This window comes from Homo sapiens, chromosome 1 (assembly GCF_000001405.40).
Source record: "Homo sapiens chromosome 1, GRCh38.p14 Primary Assembly".
In the NCBI taxonomy this organism is placed as follows: domain Eukaryota; kingdom Metazoa; phylum Chordata; class Mammalia; order Primates; family Hominidae; genus Homo; species Homo sapiens.
The window spans coordinates 210,808,271-210,821,912 of record NC_000001.11 but is presented as its reverse complement, the minus strand read 5'-3'; the positions used below and the strand labels follow the sequence as shown (position 1 = coordinate 210,821,912).

At 39.3% G+C, this 13,642-nt stretch overlaps 1 protein-coding gene across 5 annotated transcripts in view, besides 1 other annotated feature; it reads left to right on the top strand.

Annotated features, from left to right (window-relative positions):
• Positions 1–13,642, top strand: part of KCNH1 (potassium voltage-gated channel subfamily H member 1) — a 455,835-nt gene that overhangs the window by 312,236 nt on the left and 129,957 nt on the right. The gene's annotated exons all lie outside the window — the stretch shown is intronic.
• Positions 3,520–3,689: an enhancer, noted in NCBI's record as "experimental_3130 CRE fragment used in MPRA reporter constructs". NCBI's record gives its function as "activates a minimal promoter by MPRAs in K562 erythroleukemia cells, with activity observed for both the introgressed and non-introgressed 1:210991651 variant alleles {active_cell/tissue: K562}" and the evidence as "EXISTENCE:reporter gene assay evidence [ECO:0000049][PMID:34662402]".

The window sequence follows — 13,642 nt, the reverse complement described above, 5'->3', positions numbered from 1 at the left end:
ATGAGCTATGATCATGCCACTACACTCCAGCCTGGGTGACAGAGTAAGACCCCATCTCTTTAAATAAATAAATAAATAAATAAATAAATAAATAAATAAATAAATAAATAGCTGGAGTTAATCTATTGGACCAAGTGGTTGTCCAAAAGCCTACTCCATTTCAAATTAAATAGTCGTACAGCTTCAATTTCCAAAGAGGGCATATGATCTGCAATTTTTTAGCTGGAGTGTACTGCTGCTGATTAAATAGCCAGTTGTGAAATCCACCCCACTTCTCCACATTCCTTCTAGTTTCCCCCTAAGTTTCACTCCTCCTGGCTCTCCTGTGTAGCAAATATGTGCTCACCCACTACAGATGTTGCTGCATGGACCACCAAGATGATCGTGGCCAAACTGCAGTTTATAGGTGATACATGGTGAGGTCTAGAAATGAAAAAACTTTATTATTCTGACACCATACGCTGACCTGTTGTTCTAACCAGGGAGGATCAGGGGCATCCCAAGTGAGGGATGGGGTGGGAATGGTCTACATGAGTGGATTCTCTACAGAGAATTTTAAAATATTAATATACCAACTGAAAGTTGGTCTAATTTTTATTATTACTCTTTGCTATGGACTAAATGGTGATATCAGTTCCATTATGTATCTCCCTTCCCCAATTCATATGTCAAAGCCCTAATCCCCAGTGTGATGGTATCGTAAGGTGGGGCCTTTGGTAGGCCACCAAGATGATTGTAATCAAACATCAGTTTATAGGTAAAACAAGGTGAGGTTCAAAGCACTCTAGTGATTCACCTGAAATCTCACAGCTCCCAGATCATTTTTCATTACCCATTAGTATGATTTGAAAAACTTAAGATGGTATGATTTAAGTGCTCTGCATTGGTTTCCTATTGCGCTATAATAGATTAACACGAACTTGGTGGCTTAAAACAACACAAATTTATTCCCTTATAGTTCCGGAGGTCAAAAGTCTAAAATCAAAGTGTCAGCAGGGCTGTGCTCCTACTGGAGGCTTCAGGGGAAGAATCTGTCCCCTGGTCTTTCTCAGCATCTAGAGGCCACCTATATTCCTTGTCTTGTGTCACCATCCTCACATCATTCCAGCCTCTTGCTTCAGTCATCATATCTCCTACTTCTGCCTTTGACCTTTTTCCCCTCCCCATTGTAAAGATCTTTGTGATTACTTTTGATCCATCTGGATAATCCACAGTAATCTTCTCATCCCAAGATCCTTAATCAATCCGCAAAGTTCCTTTCTGTTTTGTTTTGTTTTTTGAGACAGAGTCTCTCTCTGTCGCCCAGGCTGGAGTGTAGTGACATGATCTCGGCTCACTGCAACCTCTGCCTCCTGGGTTCAAGCAATTCTCCTGCTTCATGCTCCTGAGAAGCTGAGACTACAGGTGTGTGCCACCATGCCTGGCTAATTTTTGTATTTTTAGTAGAGACAGGGTTTCACCATGTTGGCCAGGCTGGTCTTGAACTCCTGACCTCATGATCCACCCGCCTCAGCCTCCCAAAGTGCTGGGATTACAGACATGACCCACCGCACCCGGCCACAAAGTTCCTTCTACCCTGTAAAGTAACATAGTCATAGGTTCTAGGAATTAGGATTATTAAAAGGATGTGGACATCTTTGGGTAGCTATTGTTTTCTGTCTACTACATGCTCCTTAAGGTAATTATAAAATGTTTTCTCAAATTAGTTCTCAAGTTAATAAAATGCTGATGTTTAAGTTGAAACAGACATAACATTTCTGTATGAGTTATCTATTCCTCTGTGAAAACTACCCCAAAATGTAGAGGCTTAAAACAACAACAATAATTTATCTTTCTGGCTTCCATGGATGAAGAATTTGGGAGCAGCCCGGTTGCAGTCAGATATTGGCTATTGCTTCTGTTATCTGAAGGCACGATTTGGCTGGAGGAGCCACTTCCAAGATGGCTCCCTCACATGATGTGCATCTCCTTGGGGCTGGTTGAGTGTCTTCATGGCATGACCACTGGCTTCGCCCAGAGCAAGCAATCCAGAAGAACGATTCAGAAGCCAAAATCCCTTTTTGTGAACTAGACTAGGATGATTATTTTTTCCTAAGCACTGTTACAGTCTTGGTAGCTACACCAAGTCAACTGTTCTGTGGTGGTGCTGTGGTGAATGGAAAACCCAGAGAATTTCATCAACAACAACACTATTAACAGAAGAGTGGAAGCCAATGATTTCTAATGGTTATTTTTTTTGACAAGTTTATCATAGTGTATAAATACCCCATCAAACAGCTAAATACAAATTGAATGCTGTTTTTTTTTTCCTAAACTTTTTTTCTAACTACTAGTCACTGCTTAGCTTAATTTTCAGGTTTCTCTCTACTCTCAGGATAGCCGTGATTGCCTTGGAGCCGCAGTAATTCAGGGCAGGAAGCTGGTCTGAGGTGTCACGGCAGACACTCAAATCTTGGCTGTTCAGAGTCCATGTGAAGGCTCGCTTCCCTCCTCCTGACAGTTGGCCAGTCTTCCTAAGCCATCTCTCTTCCTGAAGAATAATGACCTTTCTGAGTTCAAGGCTTAAAATCACCTTTTTCTCTACACATTTTTCCTTTATCCTTCCTCTTTCAAGTAAGAAAAAGGGAAAAATAAAGAATGTCATATTTTCCTAGACTCTGCAAAATCTGACTCTAGCCTATGATTATTTCCTCTCAACTAGGAAAAAGTTGCTGTATCAACTTAGTTACTAATTTCTTCAATTAACTCTTCCTCCTATTTTTTTTTAAATCATTAGTACCCAGTTAGCATTAAGCACATCTTTGGCTAAGCCTATTGTTTTATAATCTGTTTCATAAAGACATTACACTCTTTTCCTTAAACATATTAAAATACTTTAACTTAACAAGACTTTTAAAAAATAAGGCATCCAATGGTTACTTGCAAACTAAATTAGAGGCTCACAGACGTGGATGAGGTAATGGTGCCTGTAAGAGTTATGAGAAGTTTAAAAAAATCTACTTGCTCACCCACTTCTCATCACACTGCTGGCTATAGGTAAACCTGAGAAAACATAATTTTTAGAAAGCTTTTCTGGTGATTCTAATATTCCCCTAGTTGAGAACAATAGTCATTGTCGTTCCAGGTAGATAGGGCCCATGTGGGTGTTGTTGGTTACCACATATGAGCTACATTTAGGGATAGAGTGGGGAAGTCTTATGTGTTGGTTCTGGGAAGCTTTTGGAAGAATTATGTTTTGAGCTATATCTAGAATAGTAATAACATAGCAAAAAAACTGACATGTGTTGAACACATACTACATGGGGCACTTTATATATATCATCAAATTTAATCCTCACCAAAATCTTACTATAAGGCAGATGGTATTATCTCCTTTTTACAGATGAGGAAAACTGAACTCACACTAAGTGTTTTGCTCCAAGTCACACAGCAAGTAAGTAGCAGGGTCGGGATAGTCAGCGTGACTGCAAAGCTCTGATTACTATGATGCAGTAGATTTGGTAGAAGGGAAACAGCAGAGATTCATGATGTGGGTAATGGCAAGAGAATTATTTCCTACCTGATTAAAATCTTTGTGAATGAGAAATATGTAGGCTTATAAGACGTCTTTAAAGTCAGTTATGGACATCACTATTAGGCTGGAAATTGTCTTTCTAGCACCAAGAAGATGAGAAAAGCCAAGTTTTTATCATCATGAATAAACCCTGTATAATATCATCCATTTCAAGTTTTCTAAATACATAATCATATATTAGAGCTCAAAGGGAGTTTAGGCCCCCTTTGAGCCCCAAGGAGTCCTGCTTCTTGTCTGACTTCCTCATTTGACAAGTTTGTTTACTCAAGGAAAAGCAGCAGAGCATAGATCAGTAGTTCTCAAATCAGGACGAATTTGCCTTCTAAGAAATGCATGGCCATCAATGTCTGGAGACACCTTCATTTCACAACTGGGATGTGCTGCTAGCATCTAGTAGATAGAGGCCAGGGATGTCCCTAAACATGCTGCAATGCACAACACAGTGTCCCACACCAAGTAATTGGCCACAAATGTCAATGCTGCTGAGGCTGAGAAGCACTGGTACAAAGGTTCAGGGCATAGATTTTGTATCCAAACTTCCTAGGTTTGAATCTAGCTCTATGTATGCTTACTAACTATGTGACTTTGGCCAAGTTACTTAAACTCTCTGTGTCCCATGTGCAAATGAGACTAATGATAGTCCCTATCTCATAGGCCTGCTAAGAGATTTAAATGAGTCAGTATACGTAAGCATTAGGACAGTATCTAGCACACAGTTGACATGTGTGTTTATTGTTTAGAGAGGCATTTGATGCAATGGTTGACTAGTTTCAAAGCCAACCTGCCTGGGTGTTTTCTTCCATCTGTTACTGGCTGGGTGACTTTGGGGAAGTCACTTAAACATTTTTGACTAGATTCTTTACCAGTGAAATGGATATCATGAATCTACCATTAAGATAAATTATGTATGCAAAGTAGTCAGAACAATGACTCATACATGATAAGAGCTATATAAGCATCAGTTGTTGTTATTATTCATTTATTCATTGATTAAACAAATATTTGGGCCTTCTATGCCCAAAGAGTGAAAGTCACTTGTCACTTGTCCTCAGCAACAAAGTCAGGATTAGGACCACTGACTTATACAAAATGAATAGTTTTGTCAGATATGATAGGCTCACAACTCTCTACTTCTTGGCATCCCATGTGGTAGAAGATTGGGGGATCTATTATTTTGGGTAATTATTATTTTGGAGGCAATGTGGAGAAGAGGCACTATAACTTACAGTGTCACTTAGCAACTAAAGGATTCCAATTCTGCCTTTGATAAACCAAGAGACTCATGGTTATTCAGTATGGAAAATCAACAAATGCTAGAGGTACTGAGATTAGAGTTGGCAAAAATTAGCAAGGTGATTTTAATTTATTTTTATTATTGAAAGAAGTATTTCTTTAAAAGCCACTGTCTGTCCAATTATTATGATGTTTCAATGTGATAGTAGTGGCTTCTGAAAAGTTTTTCACTTCTATTTTTGTTTTGAGATTTAGAAGAAAAATAAACGTCGAGTTTTGTGAGAGTTTCTAACTTAAAAGTAGCTGTAACTACTATTGGAAAATGGGCCTAGTTAAGATTAACATGCTTGTTTAAATGACTTTTAAAATTATGTGTTATTTTAAATGGCTTTGTTAATTAGATTCCTCTTGATGACTCATATTGGAGAAAAATAAACTTAGAGCTCTCATTAGGAAGTAAAGCAAGACCTGGGTTTGCAAACCTGCAAGCCAGTCTACCTTTAGCCATGTGCGTTGTAACTAAATGGTTGTCTCTTTGCAATCAAGAACTCAGCGAGCTCAAAATAAGTAAAAGTAGCAAATTATCTGAAGACCTTTTCAACCTGTTTCTGACCTTCTTGATTCATTTGCAGAAGTAATTGCCTATGGAAATTGCTGTGCTTTTATCTGTGGTGCTATTAAAACACTGGTTGAAATGAGGTGGCACAGACTGCATTGTTAATGGGTTACCGTGGAGCAGGAGCTGTTGTTTTATTCGACAGATGAGAAGTAGCTGAAAATAACCTTCTGTCTCCCCTGTAAGAACTGTGCTTGTTAAGTGACATTCACCAACACGGCCGAGTTTGAATGTGGTGTAGGAATTCATGCTATTCTTAGCAGGTTATTAAATGAGAGTTTTTAGGCTTCTCTTGTTATAAAATAGGGAATGTATCTGTTTTATATTCTCTGTTTCGGGGAGCTTCTTTCTATGCCTATGGCAATGGCTGATGAGTTGAAGAGAAATGAGGGGATAGTGCTGGTGTAACCGAAATGCAGGTTAATCGCTCGCCGCTTGCAGAGTCTGATTAACAAGAGTGAGATCTGGTAAAAAGAAAGTGACTTATTTCCAAAGCTGGCTTAGAGGAAGAAGCACAGATGTCCCGCCTTTAAATATACCACTTTGCTTTTGGAACAGAAATCAGACACTTTAAAAAGGCAGGGGAGGAAGTGAGCAAGGGTGTGGGATCTGTGTGTTACCTCCGGTGCCTTATCTACTGGGTGGTTTAGCTGGTGACTGCTGGCACCTTCGTGGGCAGGACTAGGCCAAAAGCGCCCCAGGTGGGATGGAGTTTCATATCTTGAGTCAGTCTCCTGGTAGGGGGAGTTCATAGAAATCAGCTGCTATCTCAAGGCAACCTCCTGGTGGCCTGGTGGGTGAAAGTTCTGTAGTGGACATGGTTCAGTCTCTAAATTGACTGTTAACTCTTCAGGAGTTAGGTGAACTAGCCCTGTAGAGAGTATCTGGTGGAGTGGGGCGGTGGTGATAAAAGGGTATTTTTACATTTGTAAAGGGCTAAGTAAGAAGTGGGGAAAGAGAAAAAAATAATTAAACCATCTCTTAGAAAAATGGGGCTACTCGGTTCCGCTGGCAGGAAATTCAGAGCTGAGTGTAGTTATTTCCATCAAGGTGTTGCTAATCTGTGGGATGGTTCTCTCATTCTCACCTGGCTTCATGGCCATTGTCCTGTCCAGTAGAGTAAGGTTAACTACCTTCAGAGTCTCCTTATGCATTCTCAATATGGCCCAGTATCTTTTTTTGTTCATCTGGCCATCCTTCCTCCTTGAGGGAGGGCATTATACTAAAACCTTATTAGGGAAGTACTGAGTATTTATTGGTATAGCATAAACCAGTGTTTCTCAAACTTTAACATGCCTCAGAACCACCTGCAGAATTTGAAAAGAACAAATTTCTCGGTCTCACCCCCAGAGATTCTGATCCAGTAGGTCTGGGGTAGGCCTGAGAATTTGCATTTCTACCAAATGCCCAGATGTTGTGATGCTGCTGTTCCAGCATCACACTCTGAGAAGCCCTTGGATCATTGAACCAGAGCAAACTCACCTCTTTGAGACAGTCTCTTCAGTAGCTTGTCAACAGCATTAACAAATTGAATGCATCCACTGAATGCAGAGGAAGATGCCTCTGAAGTGACTCCACCAAAATTTCCACACTCCAGAAACTCTTCTATTTAAGGAAAAGCACAGGCCAACTTATCACAGTAGGAGTATAATCATTCAAAGCCAAGAGCTGAAGAAACCAGAATCCAGAGATGATTGATGGAAAAATATGAACACTGGGTGGTTCAGGAAAGAAAACTAAGATTTACTGTGAATCTGTTCCATCCAGCATTGTGTTTGACATTTGTCATGTTAATTAATTGACTATTCCCAGCCACCCTAAGAAGTGAGGATTATCTTTCCCCTTTCATAAATGAGAAAACTGAGGCTCTCATGACTTGACTTAGTGACAGGGCCATGAATTCCATTCCAGTGCTGCTTTCTCATCAGAACCTGAGTTATTTTTACTATACCATGCTGCTTCCCAGAACAGCAGATGACATGACATATCTGAGTATTTAATGTTTGTTGAATTAAGACATCTGATGATAAACTTAGTGAGGTAACATTTCCAGGAAATAATTAACTTTAGAGAAAATTCTTTAGTCTTTAATTATCCTGCTGTTAATTATTATTATTACTTATTGAGCATGTATTATGTGCAAGGTACTGTGATAAGCATTTTATATATTATCCCACTTATTAAAAAATATAAGGTAATTATTTATTATATACAAAGAAATTTAAAGAGAGTAAATGATTATCCTGAAGTGGGTAGTGGAGCCAGTATTCCAAATTGCATCTCTTGTCTCCAAAGCATAGACTCAGCATTCTCCTGTGCGTCCTCCTCCTATGCTGGATTGATCTGCTAGCATGGCAATGAGTAGATTCTTCTTTTTCTTCCCATTGTTACTACTTGTATTGGTCCATTTTCATGCTGCCAATAAAGACATACCTGAGACTGGGTAATTTATGAAAAAAAGTGGTTTAATGCACTCACAGTTCCGTGTGGCTGGGGAGGCCTCACAATCATGGTGGAAGGCAAAAGGCACATCTTACATGGTGGCAGACAAGAGAGAAAACTTGTGTGGGGAAACTCCCATTTATAAAACCATCGGATCTCATGAGACTTATTCACTATCACAAGAACAACGTGGGAAAGACCCACCCCCATGATTCAGTTACCCTTCACCAGGTCCGTCCCACAACACATGGGAATTATGGTAGCTGCAATTCAAGATGAGATTTGGGTGAGGACACAGCCAAACCATATCACTACCCATTTCTGCCCAGGCAGTGAGTTTCTTGGCTATGGCTTTTAAGTTACAGGAAATAATTTAAAAGTTAGTTGCCAGTTGCCATGCCAATATAAACACTATCCTCACACTTACTCCATCAATATCACATTAGAAGAAACAAAAGCAACAACAACAGTAAAGACCAAAAACTACATTAACAAAATTAGATGTGTTGCTCTTACATGGGCTGGATGAAATTGAATAAGGACTAAGTCTGGTTCTCAGGTCTTATTCCCTACCCCCTCACACTCTCCCCTTGTCTACACTTACTCTTCAGCCCCTCCTCATCCATGAATAGCTTCGTTCAAAATCACTAAATATGTAGTCAGTATTTCAGCTAATACATCAAAGTTCTTAGTGTTTATGGATTTTAGAGATTCCTTTGAAGGCCTCTGTGCATGATGAGCTTAGTTTAAAACATCTCTCTTCTGGACCCCAATATTGTTTGGCAATGATAAATTTTGAGTCTGTGCAATTAAAAGGCAGCAGTCTTTTAATTCAATTCAGGTTACTGTTCTAGGTTACTGTCTTCATGACATGCTGTCCAATGTGTGTCAACTGTCATGATAGTTGACTCTAGGATGATTAACTGAAAGAGTAAATAACATCAGGAGTCTCTATGTACCAGCGCAGTATTCTGGATATTTCACACAGTATCTCATTTAATTCTGCCAACAACCCAGGGGGAAGCAAGCAGACATTTCTCTTTTTATTAGATTGACAGGAACAGAGGGAAAAGAAGTAAAGTTATTTGCCTCTGACCACACAGTTCTAAGCAGCTGAGCTGGAATTTGAACCCAGAAGAGTATAACTCTGAAGACTCCATCTTTCCTTCCTTATCAAGAGAAATGTTGTGAGTGCAGAAGTCACCTATAGGGATTTGCTTGGCTTCCCTTAACATAGAAAGCAGAAAATTTAACTTGTGAGCTCCTTCTCTGCCTTTTTAGACTCTATTTGCTCTATCTCATTATTGACTTGGAAGTGAGAGAGTGTCTCTGGACCACTTTGAGTGCTCAGTGCCAATAATGTATGTGTTAATGACACTCCCTCCTGCACCCTGCATAGGCAACAGCACAGCTACCTGACTTAATGAGCAGTTCATCCTAATCAAATGACTAATGGGGAATTAAGAATGATAAGACTGGAAATTTTGTTTTAAGGGAAATTCATACAGGAGTTTTTTTCTTTTTTGGCAAAAAAGACATATTAAGTCTCCTTAAAATAAGCAGCAGTAAGGTGTAATCTTAATGGATATTGAATTTCAGGCACTATCTGGCTTAAAAGCAGAGATTGGAAAGGGCTTCTGCTTTCTCAGTTTTGCCTGTTGGCATCTATGAAACCTCAGGGTGGCAGGATAGTAAGAGTAGTAGAGTTGAAGTGAGGGGAGATAGAAAAAGAAACAGAGAGCAAAGGAGGGTGTTAAAGTCTATATTTAGAAAATATATAGTGGCTCTTAATAGGTAAGTCACTTTTTCTTTTCAATTTGCCTATCCTTATTCCAGAAAAGGTGATCAATGAATAATCCAATCAGCCTTGGCTGTGAAGAGCAAGTCAAAACCAACATTTATGTTCATACAGCTTGACAACATATTCTGGAATACAAGAAGGAATTGCAATAGAAGCTAGAAAATCATCGTACCACTCTTCTCAAAGTTCTTAGCAGTAAAAGTATCACCTGGGATCTTGTTAGAAATATATGTTCTCTAGGGCCCACTCATGACCTACCAAATCTACTTTGGAGGTGAGGTCCCAGAATGGGTTTAAAGGCTCTCCACATGATTCTGATACACACTGAAGTTTGAGAATGGATGATTTGGTGGATACAGTGTGTGGCTGGAGTCAGATCCTGGGTTCTGGCCTTGCTACATATTGCATTATTTCTTTGATCTTGGACCTCAGTTTCCTTACCTGCTAAATAGTGACAATATCTACCTTGAGGTGGCGGTGTTATTTATCATTACTATTTTGCTCTGAGCACTTGACTTTGCGGGTTTGGAAACCATTTTTCACTTTCATATGGGGCACATCGGGCCAAAGCCAGTAATTCCTGAAGCCTTTGCAAGCCATTGATAATGCTTTTGCTGTAATGGCTGGCTGAATGCACATGTTTATATCTGATTACCCCTGTAACCCCACAAAAGCAACAGCAAAGAGGAGTCTTTTTTATGAACATAAATCCATAAAGACAAAAAGAATGAGAGGAGAGATAACAGTAACACAAATTTGAAAGCTGGAAAGCAATGAATGACTTGGTAGACCCCATAAAGCTAAACCCTAATGTGACAGAAGGGAAATCTGAAAAATAATTTGATTTGCAACAGAGCTCCCAAAAAATTTTCACCAGAACCCCCACTCAACTATTAGTGACAATAAGTACCTCTACAAGTGGAGGTGAAGGTGGAGCTAAGGAAAAGGAGGCCAGTTAAAAATTTGCTTAGCAAGTATTTAGGCCCACATATGTCTTTCTCATTCTGTGCAGTTGGGTCATTGCGCCTCCTGATATTCATGAAACCTGGTTTATTCTTTAGAGGTAGTCTCTGGACTGGGGGACAACAGGCACAGTGAAACAGAGGTAGTATATGAAAATAAGAATTAAGGGGAACTTTGTACACTGAATATTGAAACCTTCAACCTTTCTCTCCCTCACTTAATTGCTGAATATTGCCAGCATTCTTGACAGCAAATTGAGTCTTCTCTGAGCAGTGCAAAAGGACAGTCCTAAAGTTGGTAGCATCATGGATTCTTCAACACAAACTCTAGCCAGGTCAGTCTACAGTGAATTCTCACAGTTGACAATGTCTACTCATTCACTTAAAGCTTTTAATCAGTTTTCTAGGGCCCCACTCTTAAATACGAGTGGATATCTAAGGATTACCATATATTTCTAAGAAGAAAGGCAGACAAACATGCACATAAGTAAATGAGGAAACAAAGACTAAGCAAAGAGAAGTCAACTTAAAAATAGGCTTATCATTGATATCCTTTGAGAAAATAGGAGAAGATATTACATCTAAGAAAAAACAGAATGCAATTAAAAAGGAACATTCAGACAATGAAAAAAATCTCATGGAAATTAAAGTATAATATCAAATGAAAATTCAATAAAAGAGCAAAAGCTGAAGAAATTTCTCATAAAATGATAGAAATAGGAAGAGAGAAAAATAAGAAAATGAGATCAATCTAGGAGTCCAACATCTGCATCACAGGAGGCCAGGGAAAAGAAAATATAGAAATGGAGGGGAAGAAATTATCAAAGAAATAATCCAGGAAAATTTTCTTGAAATGAAGTGCATACATTTCCAGATTGAAAGGGTTTAGCACAATGGATGAAAATGGAACCATAGCAAAAAGGTGCATTATTACGAATTTTCAGAACCTTGTAGAAAGCGTTTCTAGAGAGAAAAAATACAGGTTATAATATGCAGGACAAGGGATCCTACTGGTTCTGACTTCTCAATAGCAAGATAAGGCTGGAGAAATGCTTCCAAAATCCAGAGAGAAATGATTTCCACTTTAGAATTCTACACCAAGCTAAGCTATTAATTGAATATAAGAGTAGACATGTTAGGTCTCAAAAAACTTTGTTCCCATATATCCTTTTTTTCAGAAAGCTATTAGAAGATGTCTCATAAAAAAGAGAGAAAGGGGTAAACCAAGGAAGAGGAAGACAGGAGATGCAGGAATAAGGGGCTCTAACCTAAATAAGTGAAGAAACTTCCTAGGTTGCTGATGAAGAGTGAGAACTAGAAATAAAATTCTAAGTCCCTTCACTGACTAAACAGACCTTCTCTTGGCCAAGGGGACTTCAGAGAAGCCTTGGAAACTGAGTTCCTGGCCATAATAGGATGAGAGGTTAAACATGCTTTGTTATAACCCCTATCTCACTAAACGCCCTTAGTCTTTCTTCCCTAAGACTAAACAGAAACCAGCCCGTTTGAAAGACTCCACCACTGATAATCACTGATGCTGCTCCTCCCTTTTGTGATTTTCACAAAACAGCTGAACTGGATTCCTTCCTGATAAGAGACCACTCACTACAGAGTGGTTCTGGCTAGTCTATGGAGGATGCACAGTGAGGGTTTTCATGTACTCTGCTTTAAAAACTCCATCCTTGGTTCATGCTAATGCTGCCATTTTTTGAACATGGGTCCCATGGGGAAGCATGAAACTCAGTTGTTCACATGCATGTTTCTCTTTTTATGAATATTCATGGTCCCTCCTATAGCTTATTTAATATATATATTTGGCCACCCCATTCACCATACATCTTTGTCTTATTCTTCTCCCTCTTGAAGTGTCTGCTTCTGGTTTCTGGCTGGAGGCTATGCTTCCCAGCCTGTCAGAACAGCCCCCTGCAAGCTGCAATCCTTTATGAGAAATAAAGCTCTCCTTTCCAAATTTATGAACCTTGTCATTTTCAGTTCACAGGAAAGATTCACACAAATGGCAATGGCACAGTTCAGAAGCTTCCAGGAAAAATTTAAGAAAATGAAATTGATAAAGATATGTGTTTTTGCTACACCCTCCCTCCCTCCCCCACCTCCCCAGCCAAATTCCATATAGCTATTTCTAATTAAGGGCTGGAGAATACTATCTTTTTTCTTTCTTTCTTTCTGGGTAGGAATCGCTGTGATATAGTATAAACTCTAAACCACTGAAATATGAAAGAAACCCCTTCTTCTCCAAATCAGCATTTTGCCTTGAGGTTGGGGGAGGTCTCCTTCCTTTCTGAAAATAGAAGGACCCAAAGAATCCACATTTGGAGGCATCCATAACACCTTCTGCACTGGGAGGTTCGTTCTTGCTTTTTTAGTTTCCTGACAGTGGTGTTACAATCTCCCTCCCTTCCTCTCTACATCACACTCATATATCTATTCAGGTGACAACTGGACTTACATGTCTTCTCTCCCAGTTAGGTTTTTAGTATTTAAGGTGTAATGCTTTATATATAAGATACCAATATAAATTAAACGTTACGTGCATGAAAAACATGTAATCCCCCTTCATATAAAATTAGGGGCTGGCCATGGTAGCTCACATCTGTAATTCCAGCACTTTGGGAGGCTGAGGTGGGAGGACTGCTTGAGGCCAGGAGTTCGAGACCAGCCTGGGCAACATTGTGAGAACATGTCGCTATTTTATTAAAAAAAGAAAAAGGAAAAAAAATTAAGGAAGGGGCATTGAGACAATAATTATCCACCTTTAATGTAATAATATTTCATAATAGTAATTGTAATTGAGCAAGGGCCTCCTGAGGACCCTTAACCTTCCAGAATGCCTCAGAAGCACCCTAGAACAAGAGCAGCCCTGAGCTGTAAATGATGGTTGTCCATCCCTGCTTGATGTCTGACCTGCTGCCTGGTTCTCTCAGATCATGGACAAAAGAGCTATTCTTACTATATTGATTTGGTGTAACTATTGTTTTAGGCTCAAGATTAAATTA